Source organism: Homo sapiens, chromosome 3 (assembly GCF_000001405.40).
Source record: "Homo sapiens chromosome 3, GRCh38.p14 Primary Assembly".
NCBI lineage: Eukaryota > Metazoa > Chordata > Mammalia > Primates > Hominidae > Homo > Homo sapiens.
Window position 1 is genome coordinate 12,924,360 of NC_000003.12, and position 15,878 is coordinate 12,940,237.

At 58.0% G+C, this 15,878-nt stretch overlaps 1 protein-coding gene and 1 long non-coding RNA gene across 33 annotated transcripts in view, besides 2 other annotated features; one reads left to right on the top strand and one right to left on the bottom strand.

Annotated features, from left to right (window-relative positions):
- LOC105376956 (uncharacterized) overlaps nucleotides 1-15,878 on the top strand; it is a 66,549-nt gene that overhangs the window by 48,016 nt on the left and 2,655 nt on the right. The gene's annotated exons all lie outside the window — the stretch shown is intronic.
- IQSEC1 (IQ motif and Sec7 domain ArfGEF 1) overlaps nucleotides 1-15,878 on the bottom strand; it is a 386,215-nt gene that overhangs the window by 27,317 nt on the left and 343,020 nt on the right. For all 32 annotated transcript variants that reach the window (XM_047449348.1, XM_047449340.1, XM_047449347.1 and 29 more), the window contains 2 exons: nucleotides 11,089-12,338; nucleotides 222-383 (listed from right to left, as the gene is read on the bottom strand). In XM_047449348.1, coding sequence (XP_047305304.1) covers nucleotides 222-383; nucleotides 11,089-12,338 — 1,412 coding nt within the window. The remainder of the gene's footprint in view (nucleotides 1-221; nucleotides 384-11,088; nucleotides 12,339-15,878) is intronic.
- Nucleotides 3,216-3,715: an enhancer, noted in NCBI's record as "H3K4me1 hESC enhancer chr3:12969075-12969574 (GRCh37/hg19 assembly coordinates)". NCBI's record gives its function as "activates a minimal SCP1, AML or CMV promoter by ChIP-STARR-seq in naive H9 embryonic stem cells {active_cell/tissue: H9 hESC(naive)}" and the evidence as "EXISTENCE:reporter gene assay evidence [ECO:0000049][PMID:30033119]".
- Nucleotides 11,633-12,197: an enhancer, noted in NCBI's record as "H3K27ac-H3K4me1 hESC enhancer chr3:12977492-12978056 (GRCh37/hg19 assembly coordinates)". NCBI's record gives its function as "activates a minimal SCP1, AML or CMV promoter by ChIP-STARR-seq in primed H9 embryonic stem cells {active_cell/tissue: H9 hESC(primed)}" and the evidence as "EXISTENCE:reporter gene assay evidence [ECO:0000049][PMID:30033119]".

Here is a 15,878-nt window from a genome sequence, read left to right on the forward strand (position 1 = left end):
CATGTGGGATGGTGCATTGGAGGGCAGGTGCCCACCTGCGTGCTGGGCAGATGTGGGGCATCTGCATGTGTGTGTCTAGGACTTAGGAAGAGAGAAAGGGGGGCCCACCACATGTCCCAGCAAGTAGGGTGGGCCTGGCCCTGTGTGTGCCCACGGGTAACACAGGGTGCGTGAGGGCGTGTGTGGAATCAGGTCCCCCACCACCCCCATGCAGAACTTACTCGAGCACGTCACGGTTGAACTGCTTCTGCCGGTTGCCCAGGAACTCGCCGATCATCTGCCGGCTGAGGCCCTTGCGCTGCAGCAGGAAGTGGGCCACCCCGACGGGCGTGTCGGGCACAAAGCCACGCTCGATGAGGTACTGGACTCCCTTCTCAGGCTTCCTGGGGTAGGACGAGAGGCACACTCAGTCCCAGCTGCCCGGCCACCAGCCAGGCACCTGGAGGGGATCTCCGCTCAGTGGACGGTCGACATTCTCCCTCCCTGCCCACCTGCACCGGCCTTCATCCCTGTAGGCATTCAGGGGTCTCTAGTTCCATCTCCAGCCTGGGTGGGAACTCAAGAACCCAGGCTGGCACTGGAAGACCCTGGGCTCCAGGCATCCTGCCCTGTCCCAAAACCCAAATATGGGGGACCTGGTACAAACACCTTCACCTAGACTCACCCAGACCTTGTACAAAGAATGGGCTGGGCTGGCTGCAGGGGTGCTTCTGTGGGAGCTGGAGCTGGACCGTCACTCCCCTGCCCTGCCTGCAGCCCCTTCTCGGCTGCCGGGCACTGGCCCCAAACTCCCGCACACACATTCAGAACTGGGTTCCCTGTCCGGCCCAACTCCCTGCTCCCCTCAGTGTGAAAGCCGCCATGCCAGGCTGCACTTCTGAGCAGACTGGAACCCTCCCCGCCTGCCAACGGGTAATAACAGCAACCACAGCACCGGCGGGGAGAAATCGCTCTGTGCCGCCGCTGTTGAGGCGCCCTGTGCACACTAATTCACTCAATTCCCACTCCAGGAGGTCAGCACTCTGGTTACCTGCGGTGCTCAGGAGCCCAGACTCGGGAGCCCAACAGCCATATAACCTTCCAGGGGTCCTGGCTTCCCCTGCTGTAAACACTGAGGAAGTAGTCAGATGCCTGCAACGACGCACTCAGTAAGCACCGTAAGAGGTTTCTATGCCGAGTCCTAATTCATGGGAGGGTGATGAAGGTGCAGGAAGGCAGCATTTCTAGCTGGAGGTCACAGCACCAGTGGCAGGGCTGGCCATGCAGGGCTGAGTGTGTCCACTGGAGACCAGACCCCCAGAGCATGGGTCATTCCACTGGCTCCAGCTTCTTGGTGCCCAAGGTGTGTGCAGAACCAGGCCTGGGCAGGGATGTGCATAGGGCACGGCATGTGTGTCGTGGGCTGATGGGGCCTAGCGCCAGGCCAGAGCACACCAGGTCTGCACCTGGCCAGGTGTCTGTAGGGCCAGGCAGGCTGCAGGGACATGGCACTGACCTTGCTGCTCACACCAGCCCTGGGAGCAGGCCCTGCCCCGCTGTGGCACTCCGGCCGTGTGAGCCCTGGCAGGCCCCTTCTCCCTTGGGGCCTCAGACGTCCTGCCCATCTTGTGGTAGGTCTCTTGCTTGGCTGACCTGGCAGGGTGGTCCTGGTGGTCAAAGGGAGAGATTGGGCCAGGAGTGGTGGCCCACACCTGTAATTCCAGTACTTCAGGAAGCTGAGGCAGGTGGATCACGTGAGGTCAGGAGTTCCAGACCAGCCTGGACAACATGGTGAAACCCCATCTCTACTAAAAATCCAAAATTGGCTGGGCGTGGTATCTCACACCTATAATCCCAGCTACTCAGGAGGCTGAGGCAGGAGAATCATTTGAACTCGGGAGGCGCAGGTTACGGTGAGCCGAGATTGTACCACTACACTCCAGCCTGGGCGACAGAGCAAGACTCCATGTCAAAAAAAAAAAAAACAAAAAAGGAGACAGGCTGGTGTGAGAGGGCTTTGAAGATGGCCACATGTGACCCTGAAGGATGGGTGTCCTCTCTGGAGTTTGCCAGGCCACTCAGGGAGCTGTATGGAGCCATCAGGCCAGACTGGCTCCATGTCCCCTTGGACGGAGTCCTCAGAGTCACCGAGGGCTGTCAAGTGGTTGGGGACACCCTCCAGGGACACGTGCTTCCTCAAGAGTCCATGAGGAGCCCAGTGTGGCTTGGGCCCCCTTGCCTCATGGCACACCTAGAACCTGTGCTAGGGTGTAATCGGCCAGGTCATCCACTAATTAGGGGGCCGGGCCTGACCCCTTGCCCCAGCAGGTAGAAGTCAGCATTCTTCTGTCCCCGGGGTGGGGGGGATGGAGATGAAACCGGTGTCCACCTGCCCCATAACCTGCACAGTTCCTGGCTGACAGCAGTGCCCTGCAGACACCGCATTTCCATGTGCAAGTGAAAGGAAGCCTCCTGGCTGCAAGGTGACCCTGCTATTTTTATCCCAGGATGGCCACACCCGTAAGCTTGTCCCCAGGAGTGTGGCAGGGAGCAGACACCAGCCAGCTTGGTCCTGGCACAGAAGTGGTAATGGAGTGGCCCCGGTCCCTACCTGTCCCAGGGACCCAGGATGGAAGGACCAGGGTTTCACTATTCACAAGATCACATGCCTCGCTATGATTCGGGGGTCTCCAAACAAGAACTGCTCCAATGCCCCAGGCCTCTACAGCCAAGGCCAGAGCAGATTCTGGGTCCTCACCATCCTGCTCCATGCCAGCACCAGCCCACACCCTTCTCTCCCTCCCTCAGCTTCCAGGTGAGGGGTCGCCATGGCTCACCTACAGTTGGGTTTTCTTTGGCCCACACACTGTTAACAAAAAGAATTCTAGTTCGTTGCCAGTATTTAAAAACTGGAAGAGTGCACAAAAAATCTGGATTTCTGGCTTCTGAAAAATCAGACCTTCTGGCGTCCCTGGGCCTATGCTCCCTGGCCTCCACGGCAGTGAGTGGGGGAGCCGGGCTAGGCTCCCCGACCCCTGCTGCCTGGTCCCTTCCCCACACAGGTGCATGCTCTAACTCCACCCAGGCTGTCTGGTCCCTTCCCCACATAGGTGCATGCTCTAACTCCACCCAGGCTGTCTGGTCCCTCCAGGCCACCGCTGCAGTGACCAGGTCCAGGCCCAGCCGGGTCCCGCCTTCTGCCGCTGCTCTTTTTTTGCCCCCATCCACCCTCTGATGTGGATGTGCCACATCCAGGGACTTCCAGGACAAGGCTCCTCGGCCCTGGAGGTGCTCAGAGCACAGAGGGAAGAGGGGAAGGTGCTGTGGGAAGCGGGCACGTGGGCTCTTCAGGATTAGGTGAGCACCATGTGTCTGCTGGGCCAGGCACCTCTTGGTGAACACTGGCTGGGAGTAGGCCGTGGGCCCCTGCGGGTGCAGCTGAGAGGCCTAGTCTGTGCAGGGGGCAAGGGACAGAGACTGAGGTATCAGGCAATTTTCTGGGAAGAGGTGACAGTGAGGACAAAGGTGCTGAGGTGGGTGGGGAGACCTGAGAGGCTATTCCAGGGTTGAGCACAGGGACCCTGGGGGAAGGCGAAGGGGGTAGTGGGGCGGTGGGCAGACTGCACTGTACAGCAGGCCATGGAGAGGGGTCTGGCTTTCTCCCGAGTGGGCTGAGAAGCCCCAGTGTGAGGTCAAGAGGGTGGTGATGGGGTCCTAAGTCCACAAGAGCGATGCCATGCTGGGGAGATCGTGGGCCAGGGCCCAGCTGGCAGCTGAGTGAGGGGCTCCTGTGGGCACCTGGCCATGCTGCAGCAGAGGTGGGAGGGGGCCGGGTTGAGGACACAGTCTGAGGGCAGAGGTGTCAATATTTGCTGATGGATCTGGGTGGGGGTGGCCGAGGTGGGGGCGGTGGAGGTAGGAGCAAGAAGGACAAGGAGCAGTGAGTCCAGGATGGCGTCAGCTTTTAGCCTGAACCTAGTGCGGGCGATGGATTCCACCCGGCAGGCCTCAAGGGCCATACCGCAGAAGTGAGGATGCTCAGTGAGGGGGCCTAGGCCGGTGATGAAGAGCTCGCTGCTGACCTGAGGGGAACTAGGGAGAAGCTGCAGCTGGACAGCCAGGGCCGGCTCCAGGGTGGGGCTGGGAGTCTCCGCAAAGCTCCCTGCAGGAGTGACAGGCCCTCAACAGCCTCCCTGACAGCAGACGGCCAGGGCACTGGGCATTTACTGGTGGGAATCCCCTGCCATTGGGACCTTGCTACCCTCCCCTACTCCTAGCCCGTGTAATGAAGCCCTTCCTTCCCCAATCAGTCCTTGGTGGCCCTGCTGGGTGGTGAATTCTCCATCCACCTGTGCCCTGCCTCACAGAGTTCCACAAGGTCTGCCAAGCATCACACAGGTCGAAGGTGGGCCTTTGGTGTGGCCTTGGACCCCCACCACCTCCTCTCCTGGCAGGACTTTACTTTCCCGCCTGCCCTGGGGAGAGGGCTGCAGGACATGCTTCAGCCACTGAACTGTGAGCTGAGGGGTCTGTGTCACTTCAAGGGGGAAGCTGTGCGGTCCCCTATGGACACCCACCTCCTTCATTCATTCCACAAACATTTATTGGGCACCTACCCTGGCTAGGTGCTATGCTAGCACAGTTATGGTCCCCATCGTCAAAAAACATGCTTTCTAGTTAGAGAGGGATACAGACGGAGATAAAGTCCAAGAATACAGAAATATGCTACAGTACAAGCATCAGGGGCATGGCTGGGAGAGTCAGAAGCCCACACTTCCGTCTCAGCTCCACTTCTGGCTGGGCGACCCAGGGTGAGTGAACTTAGCCTTTCTGTGTGTCTGTATAATGGGGATGACAGCAGTTCACACAATGGTTACTGTGAAGAATCCATGAGTTCGTACTCATAACGTACCATGCCTCAGGCCTCAGAAACCATTTCAGGCTTCACAGCTGGAAGGAGAGGCCTGGGCTAGAAGAACTCACCCGGGGTGATGCCACAGAAAGCTGGGACGGCATCGACTTCAGCTGGAAGGGGCAGAAGGACGGGCAGGAAAGCCCACCCTGACGAGATGGCATTGAGCCTGGGCAGAGAGCCAGGAAGAAGGTCCCTGGTGGAGGGAACAGCCAATGCAAAAGCCTTGACAGGTAACAAAATGGGGGCACAGAAGGGTCAAAAAACTGGCTCCAGGTTGCCCAGCAAGATGATGGGTACCAGGACTTATAATCCACGCTTCTGCCCCAGAAGTCCCTAAAAATTCCCTCTACCCTCCGGATGCCCTTCCTGCTGCTGAAAATCCACTCCGTCCAACTCTGCAGTCACCCCATTCCCACAGTCCCTTTGTGTATACCCGTTACTCTTTCTTTAGCTCTTCTTGATTCCACCCTGTAAGGACCCAGCATTAACAGGTGCTGCCTGCAACATTCTCATCATCTATACCTGACCCACCTCTGTACCCCCGGCCCTGCTGCCCCCTAAAATGCCCCAGCAGGCAGTGTAGTCGGAGCCTCCTGGCTCCATCCCTGCTGTGTGCTCCCAGGTCTGGCCTTAGCTGCCTCCTCTAAAGCTGGCTGAGCCAGCTTTTCCTCACATCAGATGACGATTCAGATTCAAGTGTGACAGGTAAGCACAGACTGCACCAGTCACTTCCTGCACACGCATCTCTCATCGTCTTTCAGCGGCAAGCTGAGCTGCTGGTGGGAAGAGTGAGCTGTGTGAGGCTCTGAGGAAGAGCTGCTGCAAGGCTGTGGATTGCACGTGGGGAACACCTACCTGCTGGAGCAAAGCACTGAGTGCTTACCCTGGTATTTTCCCAGCAGGGGTGTGCAGGATCCAGGAAAGGGTTCTCTCTCTCTCTTTTAAGACCCAGGTCTCACTATGTTGTCTAGACTGGCCTCAAACTCCTAGTTTCAAGTGATCCTCCCGCCTCAGCCTCCCAAGCAGCTGGGACCACAGGCATGTGCCATTGTGCTTGGCTCCAGTCCTTTTTAACTGTTCAGGATGCCTAAGAGATGTGGAAGTGGATGGATGCCCAAGCACCTAGCTTCAGCCCCCAGGTTTCCCAGCCTACCCTCCAGCTCAGGCCCTAAGACCTAGTGGGCAGATTCTACTCTCTGCTCCAGGCCAGTCAGAGCCCTGCATCCTGCTTGCCCAAGTGGTTCAGGGAGAGGCACAAGAGCCAGAAGGAGCCGATGAGGGGAGGAGAATCTCTCTTCCTCCTACTGGGGTTGCCTTGAGGTCAGACTACAGGCCTGGGGTTCTCTGATGGCCCTCCTGCCCTGGGTCAGGGAGGATCTGGCAAGGGGCAGGGCCAACCCTAAGCCAGATGGAGCCAAGAAATACCCGGGACTTTTCAGGTCCGTGAACCAGTAAAGCCTCTTTGCTTAACCCAGTTTGATAGAGTTCCTGTCACATGCAACAGAGAAGGCCATGATTAACGCAGAGACCAACACAGGGTTTGGAGTGCCCGAGGATCTCCGTGGTCAGAGGTCTGAGCCCTGGTAACTGTTAACTGCTTGTGGGGGTGAGGATAGACTCACCAACTTCAGCATTCGGAGAGTCCCTGCACACCTGAAAATGCCCTTCCAATGCAGCAACCTAGGGTCCTGCAGAGAGGTGCCACTTCCAGCCTTTCCCACACTGCCAGGGCCAGCAAGCTCGCCACCTCCGGAGGCTGCCTGCTCCACCAGCTCTGACTTTTACACGCACTTTCTGGTAGCGTGAACCCAAGTGGCTTCCCTGGTATTGATCCCAGAGAGAAGGCAGGAGAATCACCCTCTGAAGTGTGGCAAGCACCCCCTGCAGGGCTTCCCTTGGCACTGTCTTCTTCTCCAAGACTCAGCACCAGCCACCTCAGACCCAGGCCAGGGCTCGGGATCCTGGGCTGCGGGTAGCATCAAGGGCCACAGGCCACAGTGGCCTGTGTCTAGGGGAGAGGGGTCCCAACCTCCAAAGACCCAGCTCAAAGTGCTCCTAAGAGAGCCCATCCTTTCCATCATCAGCACCACAGGCTACGGGAGCAGCACTGCACATCCTCTGGGCCCAGCACTTCTGGTGTGTGGCCTTGAGCTTGGGCCTGGGCTCTCAGCCTCGCTGCCTGCACCTACGCTTCCCAGGATGGCTGTGGCGAATCAGTGAGACAATAGGCGGAAGGTGTTCGGCATGGGGCCTGGCGCTTGGTCCAGGCTCTGCACAGGCCGGCTCTGCTCACTGCTATTTTTATCAATGACAGCAGACACGTTAAACACAAGGAGCACAGAGCTGGAGCATGCAGATCAGGGGTACTCTCTGAGCCCTGTTCCCACAGGTGGAGGGGAATGGCCCCCTGGGGGCGCTGGAAGGGTGAAACAGCCACGCTCCCTGCAGGATCCCAGTGACAGCATCCCCTGCCTCCCTTCTGCAGTAGCTCCAGCAGGTGGATGGGACCCGAGGCTGCTGGGCCCCAGGGGCTGGGCGCCGAGTGTAGGGGAGGCCAGGTCCACAGAAGGGGGCTGCCTCCAGGTACAGGGCCCTGTGCTGGAAGGGCCTCAGAGGCCCCTGTGGAAAGCTCTTAGCCAAGTAGTCCAACCACACTGTCACACCAGGTGGCCACCCAAGCCCTGCGTACATGTTTCTCAGAGACAAGCTTCTCACTCCTTTTTGAGGGTGCCCGTGTCATCATGAAGCAGCTCTGGGGCCAAGGATGCTCTTGCAGAGGTGGGAGAGGTCTGGTGTGGCTCACCTGTGACATGGTCACCTGGGCTCATTCCAGGGAGGAATGTGACAGACAGAAAGTGGACATAGCCAGGCATGTACCCCTGACGGTGTGTACCAGGTACAGGAGCAGGAGACGCTGGGGTGGGGTTCCAATGCGGAGGTGACAGACTCAGTGAGGTCCCTGCTGGGCACCTGCCCCAGCTCCATGTGCTGCAGGGCTGCATGGCGTCCCACAGATGGTGTGGCTCTGCCTCCTGGACTCAGTTTACAGATCTGTCACCCAGTGAGGAGGTAGGGAGCCCAGGGATACCTGTGGTAGCAGTTCCTACATCATGGATTTTAAGAGGATGTGTTCAGGAGCCAAGTGGCCAGGGTGTGACGTCCCTAGTCGTCTACCAACTATGTGAGACTCAGCTCACCCACTGCACAGGGTAACGTGCGTTAGCGCGTGACAGGCCCTGGGAACCATGCCTGGCGCACCGTCAGCACATGGAAGGATTAGCTATTCTCGTTATTTCTGACTGCTTGGCCCATCACAATGCCTGTTTGGGTCTTCCTAAAGCCCAGCCCTGGAAGCTCCCTTCCCTTGGCACTCTGGACACAGAAGCCCTTGCTGACCACAACAGCTGCCATCCACTGCACAAACATGTTCCGGGTGCAGGCAGTGAGGCTCAGAGAGTTCAGGGAGTTGCCCCAGGTCCCACAGCTGATAGGTGGCAGATCCAGGACTGAAACCCTCCTGCCTCTGGCTCCTGCACCCCTGCCCTCCCGCAGCACCGCCAGCCAGATCAGCTGTGTGGCTGTCAGCTGGGCCAGCTGGGAGTAAGCGGCAGATGCCCAGAGGAACATCTGGAGGCCTGGTAGACCTCGGCAGCCCCCGGGATGCCCTCCCCACCAACCTACACCACTTTCTCAGGCTTCGTTTCTGTTCTTCCTCCCCGCTTGCTGCTGGCTCTCCCACTTTGGTACATGATTCCCTTAAAGGGGGCGTCCCCCCAGACAGAGGCCTGTGCCAGGAACGCTCACTGCTTCGTTGCTAGGAAGGGGTGGGAACTGAGAGCTGTGCTGGAGGCCGGGCAAAGGCCGGGACATACCACCCCGCAGGGAGAGAAGTGGAGGTGGTACACAGGCGCAGGGCCAAAGAAAGGGAAGGGAAAGGGCAGTTCCTCCTTCAACTAAAAACGTGCCTAGCTAAGACCCAGCAATTCCACTTCCAGCCATATGATCTAGAGGCCTGCCAGGTGTGTGTGTAAGGATCACAACCACTGTCACACTAGTGCTAGTTATGAAAAGCTAGAAGCAACTGGCCAAATAACCTATAGCCACGGCGGGGACTACCACTCAGCAGCACACAGGAGCAAGACAGCCTGTGTGTAGAGCCCAGCGATACCCTCATAAGACAATGTCACAGTCCCGCGCCCTGAGTGATGTCAGCAAGGATCCAACAGTAGCAGCTAATACATAGTAAGGCCCTATCCTGTGCCACGTCCTGCTTTCAGCACTTCACACAGACCAACGCTTTACCCTCACCGCCCTGGGAGGAGGGTGCCCCTGGCATCAGCCATTTCACAGATGCGGCCACTGTGGGACGGGGGGTTATGCTGCCCAAGGACATAGAGATACGATGGGGCACAGCCAGGATTTAAAGCCAGGCAAGCAAGCCCCAAGCTGTGTTCTTAACCATGGCTGTCTAGAGTTCCTAGAAGTGCACACAAATGCACAGGAAAAAAATCTGGAAGGAGAGACTGCAACATGCTGAGTCCAAGAGGATGTTATCCTGAGCTGCAAGGCATGCATTTTCTGTGAAGAATGTATTCACGTGCTACACAGATAATTAAAAGTTAACTGAATAAGAAAGAATCTACACAGACCAAAGCTGGCTGGTTGAGGGAGGTGGTTTTTCCTGGTTTCCTGTCTCCCCACTGCTGGCCTCCACCTGTCCACTCTGCAGGGACCCCTGGTTATCCCAGCCTCCCCTCTAGGGCACATGGGCCTGGGTCGAGAGATGATCCTGGAGCTCGGCTGTGCCCAGGAGCAGTGGGGACAGACTTCAGGGACCGTGTCAGGTGGGCCAGCAGGATGCAACCCTCCCCTGTCCAGCGCATTGCTCCGGCCGTGGCCTGTGCAGCAGTGAGAGCAGCCGTACTCTGCAGCAAGCCACAGGCAGATCACAGGCTCAGGAGAGAGCATCCTGGTAGATGTGAGATGTCCAAGACTCTTTGTTCTTAGCTGAGCAAACCAGTAAGCCATTGCCCCTTACTGGCCCCAAGTGAATGCACCATTCCCCAGAGGCTCTTCCTGAGACAGGCCTCTCTGACATCCCAAGATAGTGCTTCCATGTGTCCCAGGAATGGCTCAAAAGCACCATCTCCCCCAGTCTAGAAGAAGAGAGAACAGGGGGCAGACGGAGCAGGGAGCCAGCTCAGGCACTGGCTTTGAGGTGGCCAGGTCCCACTGCGCCATTCATCACCCTAGTTTGACCTCCTGGGAAAACTGTCGTCTGCCCCTGGCTCCCCGGATGTGTGTCAGGAACCACCAGCCCAGGGGAGTTGGTGCCAGGCCAGCATCTGATGAGGCCAAATCCCAGTAGCCCAGGGAGTGGAAATAACGAGAAATCTCAGGTTGGACAGGAGCCTGCACGTTCCCCAGGCCAAGTGCTCAGCCCTCCTCCCCTTCCTCTTGCTATTTTTGGCTGTGCTAAGAATAGTCTGCTTTAAATACCCATCGCTCCTTGGATCTGCTCTCAGGATGGTCAACGGCACCTTTCCAGGACCCCCTTGGGGAGCAGCTACTCCATGAACCCAACTCATGCATCTCCCCAAGACCCCCAGACACAGCCCTGGGTCTGGCCTGCATCTGTCTGAGTTCCTTCCATCCAGGACACGGTTCTGGGTCTGGCCAGCAACTGCCCCTGAGCACTCCTACCCCCAGACATGGCCTCAGGTCTGGCCTGCATCCCCCACAAGACACAGCCCTGGGTCTCGCCTGTCTGCCCCTGCCCCCCACTGACACAACCGGTCATACCCCTGCTCAAAGGCCTTTGTGTCCCACATCACCCCTAGGCCTGACATCCAAAGTTGCGCAGGGCATGGCCCAACATACCCCACTTGCTATGGCGGACTTGGGGGGGATGGGACGGAAGGGCCCGGGACTCAAGTTGCTTCGGCACAGAAAGCTCCCATTCTGCCCCTGCTCAGCCTGTGTGTGTTGCCATCCCCACCAGCAGTCCCAGGAGGGGCTAGGCCTCAGCGCACAGGCTGGCACCGTCCTAGCCACCGACCTTGTGTGGCAGCTTCCTATGCTCATAGGCCACGGTGGACCTCAAGCTCCGTGCTTGGAAGGATGCAGCCACGCCCACCCGCCAAGGCCCAGCAAGCCACAGCTGCCCACCCTGAGGGGTCACCCATGGTACTCACTTGTTGAAGAGGTTCAGGCCGATGCGGTAGTGCCTCTTGCGGATGACATCGTTGCTAAAGGCAGGCGAGTCCCAGCTGTTGCGGGCCTCCTTGTGGTAGGTCTGCTTGCTGAGCGTCTGCTCCCGCAGGCTGTCACGGGACGATGACTCGGAGCTGCAGTTGATGGTATCGTTGGAGTTGGACGTGCTGTTGATGCTGTCATTGTCACCGTCTGAGTAGTCCGACTCAGACTTGCTCTGCCGGTTGGCTGAGCCATTGATGGCCAAGTGGCTGTCCAGGGGCCTGGGGGGCCGGGGCCGCAACTCAGGCTCCTCCCGGGGGAGGCTCTTGGGGGCGCCGCTGTGGGGACCATGCTTGGGACTGCCCTGCTGCCCGCCAAGGCTGCGCTCGTAAGCACTCTGCCTCTTGAGTGACCCCCGCTCCGAGCGGTCACTAAGGTCCACAGAGCTGTCGCTGGGTGGCTCGATGGTGAGCAGCGGCAGATGCTCCACCCGCAGCCGCTGCTCCTGCCGCTCCAGCGACGGCGTGCTCCGGCAGCTCGTGTCCGTGTCAGCCTTGTCCTCTTTGTGGGCCAGGGCCCAGTAGTCTGGGGCTGCGCCCCCAGCCCGTAGCCGCAGGTCCGACTCGGTGCTGGACGGCCGGTCCCCTGCCTGCGAGAGGGGCAGAGGGGGCGACAGCTCCTCCTCATCGATGTACAGGGTGACATCACTGTACGAGGCCGTCATCTCGTCCAGTTTGCGGTGGTCCATGCCGTGCAGGGCTGTCTGGGGTTCGGTGTCCCGGGCCCGCGCCGCATCCAGGGCCGGTGCCTCCTCAGTGTGCAGGCTGCGGCAGTTGAGGGCATCGTCGATGGACTCGGCCAGTGATTTCACTTGCCTAGAGAAGGCGTCCTCCAGCTCGGTGATGGCGTCCGCAAAGTCACTGGAGGGGGCCGGAGACTTGAGGGTGGTGGGCTCGCTGAGGTCACCACACTCAGGGGACACCAGGGCTCCCAGCTGGGAGCCGTCGTTAGTCACTGAGACCTGCTTCCCCTCGAAGTAGGAGCTGTGCACTTTCTCAGGCCCCTCAAAGGAGAACTGCATCCTCATGTTGGACAGCACAATCCGGCGTGACATGCGGTTCTCTGACATGGAGCTGCGCAAGCGCTCGAAGTTCTTGTTCATCTGGTACTGGCGAAACGCCGTCTGGATGGTGCGGGCCGCATGGCGGGTTACCAGGCGCCCCCCATACTTTCGTTCTAGCATCTCCACCTGCGGGTGGGAGAGGAGAATGAGAACAGCACTGCATGTAGGCACAGTGCGACATTTACCAAACTCCTTCCCACTTCCTAGCCACGTGGCTGTGCGACCTGGGAAGGTCCCAAAGTTGGTCAAAGCAACTGCTGAGGGATGCTGGTGGGCTTATGCAAAATATGAGTCCCAAGGTCAAACTGGACAGAGAAGCACCAAGTTAAAATGAGTGCAACCATGTTTTTCCTCTCTCAGACCTCTTTTTTTTTTTTTTGAGACAGAATCTCGCTCTGTCACCTAGGCTGGAGTGCAATGGCACAATCTCGGTTCACTGCAACCTCCGCCTCCTGGGTTCAGACGATCCTCCTGCCTCAACCTCCCGAGTAGCTGGGATTACAGACACCCACCACCACGCCCAGCTAATTTTTGTATTTTTAGTAGAGATGGGGTTTCACCATGTTGGCCAGGCTGGTCTTGAACTCCTGACCTCAGGTGATCCACCCGCCTCGCCCTCCCAAAGTGCTGGGATTACAGGCGTGAGCCACCATGCAGGGCCTCAGAAACTTTAAAAGGCAGTGAGATACACTATGTTGAGTGTCCCCAGTGTCTTGGGTCACAGAAGCCCCTGGCCCTGGTGCATCTTGAGGTATGCCATCTAACGAAACCCATTTGGAGACCCTGGAAGAAGTATGCACAGTTCAAGAGATAGGCTAAAGATCCCAGCAAGGCCCACAGGCTTCTGGACTCATTTCCTTTCCACAGCATCAACCAGGCAGCTCTTGTGGCCAGATGGGTCACTGAGCTTCAGGGAGACCTGTGGGGTTTGCTGCACTGAGAAGCAGGCTTTGAGGCCAGGTGCCTGAGTTCTAATCCAGGCTATGCCCCTTGGTAGCTGGGTGACCCAGAGTAAGCACTGAGCCCATGCAGTTCCTCGGTTTCCTCATCTATTAAATGGGGTAGTGCTGGGACCTGCCTCCTATGACTGTGGTGAGCCTGGGAGACAGAGGCCAAGGGCTGGCACATGCCAAGCACGGGGGCAGCTGGGCTGGAAAGACCCTCAGCTGCATTCTGGGAAGGGATTTACAGTTCGTAAAGCCCCCAAGCTCCCTTGCTCTACAGATGGGCAAATTGTGGCCCAGAGAAGAGACTCAACACATACTCAAGAGGCCTTCAGGCTCTGGAGCTGGCTTTCCCTCATGAGCACCGCCATTCCTAGATGGCTCGTCTGGCCTACACAGCTCGTTCCTGTGAGGGGTGAGCTACATGCAGGGAGAGGGCGGGGTGAACCCTGGGTGCTTCAGCGGGACACACAGACCTCCCGAATTCCTGAGGCACCCGTGACCAAGGACGGTCCTGAGGGCCACTCCCTGCACCTTGCTCCTGAGTGGACAATGAACACACTCCTGCGGCCAAGATAAGGAATTGGCTTCTCCGCCAAGCCAGGCCTCTTGGGGTGCTGGGGTGGCGTGGGCATGTGATGTGGGGCTAGGAGCCAGGCAAAGCGTTGCACCTGCCTGTATGGTCCCAGATGCCACTACATGCTGGGCATCACATCACACCTGGAGGTGGAATGGGAGGCATGGAGGTCCTTGCCCTCGAGGAGCGAGGGGTCTGTCAAGGAGAGCAGGCAGCTGCAGGCGCAGAACTGAAATAATGCCAAACAGACGTCCAGCAAATCGAAGGCTGTGGCCTGCACCAGGGAGACTGGCTCAGGGCCACGCAGGGCCTTGCATGCCCATGCGTGCTGCCTGGCTCTGGGTGGTCCCAGCAGGCTGGGTGGAGGAGAAGAGCTGGGGGGGCTTGAGGGGAGCAGATCAAAATGACTTTTCCAATCCCAGGCCACAGTCTGTTTTCTCTCTCGCCCTGTTACTGAACGCCATCCAAGAAATGACCTCACTTCCACAACTGTAAGCAGAAAGTTTCTATTTTTTGGGTTGTGAGTGGAGCTTAGAAAGCCCCTGGGGCCCATAAGAGGCCCAAGGCTGGGATCTAGGAAGCCTTTCTTCCCTCACTGTACTTTGTGGGCGGCACAAGTACGAGGACCTCCAGCTCAGGCCTAGAGCTCCCCGCAGGGCCTTCTCACCTGCTGGCTCCGGACCTCGCAGACCACGCAGCCACCCTGTTTTCCTGAGACCTCCTGCCCAAACCTGTGTGTGTTGGGGGCGAAGGGACTTCAGGAAGGCAGCAATGGGCTCTGCATTTGTTCACCAGAGCCCCTGGCAGTTCCTCCCCCAGGGGGACACACATGGACCTGGGGCTACTCTTCCTCGTCCCCAAACTTACCGTGGGTCATTCTTCTTTCTGGGATGGAACTATTGCCAGGCCCGGTCGAAAAGTTTCCCGGGACCCAGTGGATGAGATTCTACTAACATGTGCTCATCTACTATGTGTGCTGGGGACCCCCATACCCTCATGCCACCTCACAGCAGCTTCTGCTCTCCCGAGGGGTTTCACTACCCCACTTCTCAGCAAGGACAAGACACTCAGCGGAGGGAAGACGCTCAGCGGAGGGAAGCCGCTGCCCCAGGGCACATGGTTCCTGGATAGAGGAGTCGACCCCGTGGCCAGGGCTCCCCCATCCGGCCCTCACTTGTCCCTTCAAGGGAAACTTCTGAGCAGTACAGAAGAGGAACCCGGAAGAATGCCCTTCAGCAAAGCAGAACTGTCACTTCTTGATGACACAGGGACAGTACCTGAAACCCACTCAAGTTTCCTGCTTCAGGGACAGAAAGCCACTGGAGGGCACAGTGGGTCAGGGGCCAGAAGAGCACAGGAGACTAGCCCTTGGGCTCCTTTCACTAAAATGGACTCTGTGTTATCCAGACTTAAAACTCCTCGTGGAATCGGGCACCCTACTTTTTCATCTGGTGATTCCCATGCAATCTGTCCCATTCCCACTTTTGCTGAGCTTTCCAGGAAGCTCAGTGGACCATCAAATGCTCAGTGGCCCTTGATGTCGCCTCCTCCCTCTTACCTCTTTGGAACCTCTTCCAGGCCTTCCTTTCCATTTCACACACTCGGCAGCCTTTACATCAGCTGTTGCCTCTTCCTGGGACAGCCAGCTCTAATGCCTCCTTAGAGAGGTCTTCCCAACCAGCCTTACCCAATGCTATTGCCTCCCGTAGCTGCCCTATTTCTTTCCCCAATGTTTAGAATCCCTAGAGTTTGCATTACTTTCTGGAAGTCAACTGCCTCTGCATTGCTAACTTGCTCCTGTCCAGCTCCTGTGCCACAGTGGAGCTCAAGAGCAGGGGCCTCGCCTTGGTCATGGGCACCCAACACAGTGTCTGGTGCATAGTGGGCGTTCAGATAATATGCATGGAATGAAAATGAATAGCTGCAGTCCTATTAGGCCCACAGTAAGCATATAATTCTCTTCAAAGGCCTCTATTAAGTCCCAACCTTTCTCCTTTCTGTTTAAATGGCTCTGTTGCAGACATCTCTTACTATAAACCGTGGTCCACTTTGGATCTGGGCATCACGGATAAAGGAACAGAGGTTGCTCTGCCCTGTGTCGGTCCGGCCTAAGTTGCAAGGCAGCACCGACAGCCAGGTGAGGAA